This window comes from Homo sapiens, chromosome 21 (assembly GCF_000001405.40).
Source record: "Homo sapiens chromosome 21, GRCh38.p14 Primary Assembly".
In the NCBI taxonomy this organism is placed as follows: domain Eukaryota; kingdom Metazoa; phylum Chordata; class Mammalia; order Primates; family Hominidae; genus Homo; species Homo sapiens.
In genome coordinates, this window is record NC_000021.9 from 35,057,461 (window position 1) to 35,067,086 (window position 9,626).

A 9,626-nucleotide genomic window follows, 5' to 3' on the forward strand; every position below is an offset into this window, starting at 1 on the left:
CCTGAAGGGTGAGGGCTTCCTTAAATTTTGCACCTTAGGTGCCTCTCTTGCCTTGCCATTGTCCTGACCTTGGGTATGGCTCATGAAACTAAGCAGAGACCATGAGCTGGGCAGAGGGCGGTGTCTGAGTCAGGAAGGGGTTTTGTGGCTGAAAAACTTGTAGCCACAAAATAATGGAGTCCTGAGCTGGACCTTGACAACATATGCAAGTTTCATTTTGTCTGTACTAGACGTGTACAGTTTTGACCGACAAAAGAACAGGGGGAGGAGAAAGAAGGGGAAGGGCTATGAGGTGAAAGGCAGATCAGAAATAAGCCCAGCTTGGAAGAAAGTGAGGATCCCAACCTGGCAGAGAAAGAGGAGCTGATGAAGGAGACTAGAGAAGGACCCGTCTGGAAATACAGAACTTGGTCCAAGTAAAGGAGGACCTTGAAGGTCAGGCTGACAAATTTGCTTTTATTCTGTGCATAATGGGGAGTCACCAAAACCCAGGAAAGTGAGGGGATGAAATCAGAACTTTTGGAAAATTGATCCAGTAGTGGCATCTATGATTATTTGATTAATCTATTGACTCTTGATAGCAGAGGTCTTGGCTATTTTTGCTCATTACTGTATCTCCAGCATCTATCACTGTGTTTGATATGCAGAAACTTTTTGATGAATGAATTAATGGATAAATGGATGGATGAGGCTTTATTAGGACTAGAGGCTGGGGAACCAGAGGTTGTAGTATTCAGCTATGGAGTAACGAGCTCCTTAACTAAGGATGTGGGTAGCAGGAATGGAAAGCAATGGGACTGTGATAGTTGACTGCATTAAGAGCCTCAGTTTTTTGGACCTCCTTGTAATCTTTCCCTTTGCCCTGTAACTGTGGTCTCATCCCACTCTGACCCTGAGCTTGGCCTTATGACTTGCTTTGGGACAGTCACAAACTTGATGTAACCAGAGGCTTAAAATGGAAAAGTGCTTCCACATCAGAATATGCTGGGCTGGTGTATGGGAAGGTGAGACACATGGAAGACAAGAGCCAGTCTTCCCAGCTGAGGCTATCCTAGACCAGCTGATAGCTAGCTGACCACTGGCCACTTAACTGAGCTCCAGCCCAATGTAGAAGAACTGGCCAGCCAAACCCAGCCATAACCAGCAGACTGCCTTGCTTTCTCATAGAAACACGATCAATAATACAGGATTGTTGTTTCAAGCCATAGAGTTATTGGGTGGCTTGTAAGACTGAATTATTGTGGCAATAGTTCCTGCAGAAGAGGTAGAGATTCTGAAAGCATCAGAATGGAGCTGCAGCTGTGGCTGCAAGACTGAGTCAGTTAATTTGCAAAGTAAAAGAGAATATAAAACTGAAGGTGGGGAATGAATAAAAGAAAGGAGTAGGAGGAGAAAGGAGCCAGAGGAAGGCTGGCAAGTGAAGTAGGACAAAGATAAAGGGAGTACAGTGCAAGCCAAGGGAGGAAGAATTGTCAAGGGAGGGAAGGGAAACAGAGTTAGATGCTGAAAACAGAGAGGCATGAAAAACAAAGACTATGGAAAGGTCAACAGATTTGATAAGAAAGAGTTACTTGAGGTCTGTTCCTTCATGACACCTCATCAGACTAAACAGAAGGGTGACATCCAATTTTGCTGGCATGCAGATGAGCAGTTCTTCCTCTGCTTGAATAGAAAGTTAATATGAAGTTAATGATTACTCTTTTGATGTTGTTCGAATATATATGTTGATTATATGGCTTTTCTGTTTCAATTTAATTCAAAAATATTAATATAGCATGTACTTGATAGAACAGAGATAAATTACATGTAAAGAAAGATTTTGAGTACTCCTTGTTCCTGCTTTTTTTAAAAAATTTTTTATTCTTATTTTTAATTCAAGTTTTATTTTAGGTATAGAGGGTACATGTGCAGATTTGTTACATGGGTGTGTTGTACCCAGGTAGTGAGCATAGTACCTAATATGCAGTTTTTTAATCCACAGCCCACCTCCTTTCCCACTCTAGTAGTCTGCAGTGTCTATTATTCCCAAGTTTATGTCCATGTGTGCCCAGCATTTAGCTCCCATTTGTAAGCAAGAACATGTGGTATTTAGTTTTCTGTTCCTGCATTAATTCACTTAGCATTATGGCCTCTAGCTCTATCCATGTTGCTATAAAGGACATGATTTCACTCATTTATGGCTGTGTGCTATTCCATGGTGTATGTGTACCATAGATTCTTTATCCAGGCTACCACTGACGGGCACCTAGGTTGATTCCATGTCTTTGCTGTTGTGAAAAGTGCAGCGATGAACATATGAGTGCATGTGTTTTTCGGGTATAATGATAGTAGCTCTGTTTCAAGTTCTTTGAGAAATCTCCAAACTGCTTTCCATAGTGGCTGACCTAACTTGCATTCCTATCAATAGTTTATAAGCATTCTCTTTTTCCCACAGCCTCGCCAACATCTGTTGTTTTTTGACTTTTTAATAATAACCATTCTGACTAGTGTGAGATGGTATCTCATTGTGGTTTTGATTTGCATTTCTCTGATGATTAGTTACAGTGAGCAATTTTTTTATGTTTTTGGGCCACAGATATGTCTTCTTTTGAGTAGTGTCTGTTTATGTCCTTTGCCCACTTTTTAATTGGTTGTTTTTTGATTGCTGATTTGTTTAAGTTCCTCATAGATTCTGGGTATTAGACTTTTGTCAGATGCATAGTTTGCAAATAATTTCTCCCATTCTGCAGGTTGTCTGTTTAATCCATTGATAGTTTCTTTTGCTGTGCAGAAGCTCTTTAGTTTAATTAGGACCCACTTGTCAATTTTTTTTTTTGTTTCAATTGCTTTTGGGGACTTAGCCAAAAGTTATTTGCCAAGACCAATGCTGAGAAGGGTATTTCTTAGGTTTTCTTCTAGGATTTTTATAGTTTGATACCTTACATTTAAATCTTTACCCCATCTTGAGTTAGTTTTGGTATATGGTGAGAGCTAAAGGTCCAGTTTCATTCTTCTGCATATGGCTAGCCAGAAATCCCAGCATCAGTCATTGAATAGGGAGTCCTTCCCCATTGCTTACTTCTGTTGGCTTTGTCAAAGGTCAGATGGTTCCAAGTGTGCAGCTTTATTTCTGAGTTTTCTATTCTGTTGCCTTGGTCTACATGTCTGTTTTTGTACCAGTACCATGATGTTTTGGTTACTATAGCCTTATACTGAAGGCTATACCCAACTTGAAGTTGGGTAGTGTGATGTCTTTGGCTTTCTTCTTTTTCCTTAGAATTGCTTTGGTTATTTGGGCTCTTTTTTGGTTCTATATAAATTTTATAATCGTTTTCTCTAATTCTGTGAAGAATGACATTGGTAGTTCGATAGGAATAGTGTTGTAAATTTCTATGGGCAGTATGGCCATTTTAACAATATTGACTCTTCCAACCTATGAGCATGGAATGTTTTTCGATTTATTTGTGTCACCTCTGATTTTTTTCCGTGGTATTTTGAAGTTCTCCTAGTACAGATCTTTCACCTCCTTGGTTAGCTGTATTCCTAGGTGTTTCATTTCCTTTGTGGCTATTGCACATGGGATTGTGTTCCTGATTTGACTCTTAGCCTGGACATTATTCGTGTATAGATATGTTACTGATTTTTGTACACTGGTTTTGTATCCTGAAACCTTACTAAAATTGTCTATCAGTTAGTAGTCTTTTGGCAGAGTCTTAAGGGTTTCTCTATATAAAATCATATCACCAGTGAAGAGAGATAGTTTGTCTTCTTCTTTTCCTATTTGGATACCTTCTTTCTTTTGCCTGATTGCTTTGGCTAGGACTTCCAACAGCTAGATTTTGAAAGCATGTTCGAGATGGGCTGTTGTGGGGTAAATAGGGATGGTCCTTCAAAAAGAAGGACAGTTCACAGCAGCTGTAGGTGATGAGTCTTGGCAGGATGCTGTGGCCACTGGTGCTATTAAGATATGATGAATATGGGATAACAGAGTGAGGTGTCCAGGGATTTCCAAAGAGTGTTCAAGAACTATTTGGACACCTGATCCTCAGGGAAGATATAAAAAGGTCAAGAGTGGGCACTGAAGAAGGAAGTCTTTGAAGAGAGTGATTGAAATGTAACTGATGCACTCGTCTTCTCCGACCTTAGTGACCAAAGCATAGAGGGGAGCCTGTCTGTCACATGAAATCTAGCAAGAGGGGCTTGAATCGGATCATGCAGGGAGCATGCGTCCATCAGTCGAGGTCTGACTTATCCCCTGGGAGAGTGGAAGTGTCCTCTTGTAAAGTAGGATAGACAGGGATAGCATTAGGAACTTCCCACATGCCCCTTTAGGAATCCTCAAATATGGAATCCCTAAACGAGATGTTGGCTAGGCATTGTTTTAAAAGGGATTTTGCCTAAGAAGGTGGACTTTTCAGGCAAGGAGATTTTAGCCCAGAGAGGTTATGATACAGACCACTGGGAGCAGCAGCCAAGAAGGAAGGGAGGAGGGGCCGATAGCCTAGAGAGGGTACAGCTTCTGTAAGGGCAGTTTCAGCAGAAGGACCCTAATGGGAGTGCCAATCAATGTGGAACCCATGAGAGTACACAGGGCAGAAGCAATTGGCAATAAACATCTATGAGGCCCAGAGAGAGCTGAGCCATCTGATACTAGCAGCAGACAAGCAGCCTCCCCATCCTCCTCCCTGTCTCCCTTCACCCTCCCCAGCATGGCAGTGTGAGATGTCTTGGTTAGCAAGGAGTAAGGGTGGATGGAGGAATCTAGGCTGCTGGAAGAAAGGAGCTTGGCCACATTCCATTAACCCAACCAAGCAGTCGCCCCAGTAGGCTCCAACTGTGGCTATGGGAGTCAAATCAAGTTTTCAGTTTTGATGATTTGAGATTCTGCGATTTAGAGTGACCATAGGACTTTTCTTATCTAAGTGAGAGGCAGAGAAAGGATCGCCCACATTGAATATATTTAAAAGAATAGTGAAAGACAAAAATCAAGTGAGTTTTCAAAAAGTGGAAACAATACAATGTGTCCATTGAGTCGAATGGATGAATGGATAGAAAAAATGTGGCGTACATGTAAAGTGAAATATTATTCTGTCCTAAGAAGAAGTGAAATTGTGATGTGCACTACAACACGGGTGGACATTAAAAGCATTATATTTAGTGAAATCATCCAGACACAGAAGGACAAATATTGTACGATTCTACTTATGTAAGGTAGCCAAAATAGACAAATTCATAGAGACAGAAGGTAGAATAGAGGCTACCAGGGGCTGACAGGTTGAGGGAAAGGCAAACCATTGTTGGATGAGCATAGAATTTCAGATTGGAAAGATAAAATTCTGGAGATGGATAGCAGTGATAGTCGCTTAACAAAGTGAATGTAATTAATGGCACAGAATTGCACACGAATGAATAGTTAAAATGATAAATATTATGTATATTTTACCACAATAAAAAAAATTAAGTGGCTTGTATGATTAGAATTCTTTGTGTTTAAAATAACTCTTTATATCCATGATAAGACTCTTATATAATGGTTTATATAATGGTCTGTACATCTTCTGGGTGAGTAGCAGTGGATTTATTTATTAATTATTACTCATCCCCTTCCCCTTATCAATGCTGGGTTGGACACTTGGATATAGATATGGCCAAGACCCGGCTCTTGGCTTTAGGTGATTGGGTTAGTGTAGTCTATCTTTTGTCGTGAGACCCTCAAGAAGGCTTGTTTAATTCAGTGTGCAACACAGTTAATATAATACTTCTTAACTCATTGGCATTACTAAATCTTTATTATTTTTATGATAATTAGAGGAAGCAATTAGAAGACTGTCCAGCAAAATGATTCTTCAGAAAGTTTCTGATTTAGCTGCATTCTCTGTGGCACTCTATACCTGCTGTCTACTTACAGAGGAACGTAGAGTTGTGTCTTAATTGAGAAAAATAAAACTTAAAATCATTTTTTTCTAGAATATAAATTACTATTATTAGGGTTGACTGCAAAAACTCTACAGACCCACAAACTCAGACACACACACAAACACATACACACATACATACACACACAAACACAAACACACACACAAACACACATACACAAACACACACACACAAACACACACAAACACACACACACACACACACACACACACGCTTTAGTCCAGGATATTGATTTCACTTTAAACTCTGGCCTCACTTGGCACGAATGTTTGGGCAAGCCCTAACATATTACCTTTGGGTATTCCCCATTCCTGTAGTTAGTCAACCACACAGAGGGCAGATCTAGAGGAGATAACTGATTTAATGATAAGTTAAAGGATTAATCCTTTTTCTGCAGCATCTTAATATGCAGAGATTATCTTGTCTGATGCCTGAGTTATAAATATATTGCCACTCGTGTTTAATCCCACACACCACCTATCTTTTCCTTGAATCTACTCAAGTGTTCAACAACAGCCTTCTAGGTTTCTGCCTCCCAGGTAATTCAGATGAAACCAGGAAATCATGCTGATAAAATAGTTTCATCCTGCTTGGAATTGCGTACCTCGCAGTGCACCCTTTTCAGAGAAGCTAAAGGAAATTCAAAATAAGAGATGGAGTCATGACTCGGGGATGACAACTATGTCTCTGTGTTCTGCTGTATTCAGGACAGTGTGGATCATGGACTACCTAGGACCTGCTTCTGAAGGTAGTGAGAAGCAGACTCAACCATGAATTCCTTTAGACTCAGAGCCCTTCACCTATTAATATATACAACATACACACATTTTAACTCCAAGACTTCCATTTTTATTCCTATCACTTATCCAATCTAGGGAGCTTTAGCTTACCCTCTCTTTTTGAGTGGACTGAAAACATTTGGATAAATCAGGTGATTCCACCGTACTTCAAACCCTCACCTTAATGGAGAAACATATTTTTGGCCCATCACTTCCTTTGAATTTCAAGTTTATCCCTACCAAGGACATATTTCTCTGATGTACTGAGGGTAGGCTTGCCAGACTTAGCAAAACAAAACAAAACAAAACAGAAAAACAAACAAAAAACAGCATGTATTGTTAACTCTGAAGTTTTGAGAAACAATGAATGAGTTTTTAGCATGTCCCAAATACAGCATGGGACACGGGTAAAGAATTATTCATTGCTTGTTTGTAATTCAAACTTAACTGGGCAGATTTAATTCATTTACTTTAATTCATTTAATCTGGCAATCCCTGTTGACAGCCAAGATGTGAGACATGCATGTGGACACATTTCACCTAAGAAACAGAAAGCTTTGGGGGTTTATTTAAACATACAGGAGAAGATAATAGAGTACGCCATTGAACTTCAATCACTGCAGGCTGCTGTGGATTTTTTTTTTTTCCTTTTTTCTTGCATCCTTTTCAAGGACCTGGAGAAGTGTTAAATACCAGGCTCACCCTGCTAATGGTTTGCCCACCAGTAAGAAACAATGGCAAAAGGGATCATTTACCTTGTTTTCTCCATGCGGGACTCACCTGCTTTCGGGTCCAGGCGAACTCGCTGTGGTATTGTTCTTCTCTGCTCGGTTTCCAAAGGAGAGCCCAGGCGCGTTAATTGCTGGGTGGCAGCTACACTAAATGCAAGTGGACGACAGCTGGGTGCCGGGCTCGCTCTGCAAGAGAAGGTTTGGGTTTCCATTGTAGTCCGCATCATAATCCGCACCCTTCCATCTGCACTAACTGTTGTTTTAGGTCTCAAGTAATTGGCTGGAGCTGAAAACATAAACACCTCCACGCGCTTGCCCTTATCATTTTCTTTTTATGTTGGTTTAGGAAATACACCTGAGAGACCAAATGCATACAATGAATCCAGCAATTACCAACCACCATGGGCGGACAGCAAATGCTCAAACAACAAAACACCCAAGGATGGGCGGCTGCTGGCTTCTGACTTTCCTCATGGGGATGGGGGTCCCAGATCTGGGTCTAGGACTCCCTCCCACTTCTGTCCTGGGACAGCTGATTTCAATACTGCCAAAGACGTGGAACTTTTCTTAAGAAGGTTCTCTCCTGATTTATTTTGAGTAAACAACTGATACAGGTTATGTATAGTGCTGGGAAAACTAATGCAGAGAAAGAGGAGGGACATAACTAGTTTTGTTGTCATCTGTGGAACATTTAATTGCAAAATTGTTGAAAGGAAAATTAGACCTCTCTTTCCCCCTCCCCGCCCCCCCAAGTATGGCTTTGGCAGAAAAATCCCAAAGAAAATTAGAAAGTGGAGATTAAGGGTGAAGATAGGGAGAGACATTCAAAAACACCACCACCATTTCATACCTTTGGGGCTGAGTTCTTTAGTCATTCAACAAGCATTTCTTGACCACATTCTATGTATTGGACACCGTTTTACTGAGCAAGACAATTTAGAATGAGGTTGTGAACATGAACTTGGAGCTACCTGGGTTTGTAATCCCAGTTCAGCCACCTACTAGCTACGTGTCCTTGAGCCATCTACTTAAACTATCTGTGCCTCCTTTCTCTCACTTGTTGAATGGAAATAATACCATTAAGTCCTTCATAAGGTCTCTGTGAAATGGAAATAATAATATTTCTTACCCCATAGGGTCATTGTGAGGATTAAATTGGTTAATGCCTGTGAAGCACTTAGAAAAATTCTTGGTACATATTAACTACCAAGTACATATTAGCTCTTATTTGGTGGTGATGTTGTGTTGCTGTTTAACATGAACGAATGTGCCATGTGACATTTTGCGTAAATGATGATGAAAGGGAAGAAACATTACCCCAAACCTATTAGTGAAAGACTGGGTAGACATGGTTTTTACTCATGCTCCCTCCTGCAGATAGTAAATTACTTAGGAAGTTGTTTTTGTCACTTTCTACTTTGGTCCCCAAACATCAAGAACATGGTTTCTTTAAATAATTCTTGAAAAATTGTTAGAACAACAATGATATGGGCTATCCATAGGAACATGTAGAAAGCATGTTTGCAATCACCTACCTGAAAATTAGAATTATCATCTTGGGTATGTTAAATTGAATTAAGTTTGGCCCAAAGCTGCCTCCATCCATATTTTAAGGTTGGCCTAACAGCTTCTCCACGCATAGCAAACTGTAACCTAACCTGATGGTTAAACAGACAGTAGCCTACGATTGTAACAAGTAGCCAAGTCTCAGTCAATCTGAGCAGTTGAGTTTCAGCCAATCATGGGGACCAACTGTTCAACCTGTGTTCTTAAAAGGCGAACACTGAGCTATCACCAATTCAGCTGTTTCTGTACCCACTTCTATTTTGTGTACGTCACTTTTCTTTTTCTGTCTGTAAATATTATCCATGCAGCAGTCCTGGGGTTGCTCTGAATCTATTCTGGTTTGGGGGTGGGGCGGGGTGGGGGGGTGCCCGATTCATGAGTCGTTGTTTGTTCCTACATTCTGTTAAATTGAACGTGTCTAAAGTTTTTCTTTGAACAGGTAGTGGGACTGAGCTACTATTCAGAATATTCTCTGTGCCCCACTGTGGCTCGCCATCATACCTTCTGTATCTTTTGCTTATCTTCCTGTCATGAGACTAGCAAGGTCTTGACAGCACTCACCTGAAGCCATCAATCAATCAGCTGAGGAAGACATCAATCTCTGTGATTGTAAACTACTGAGATCGGGTAGTTT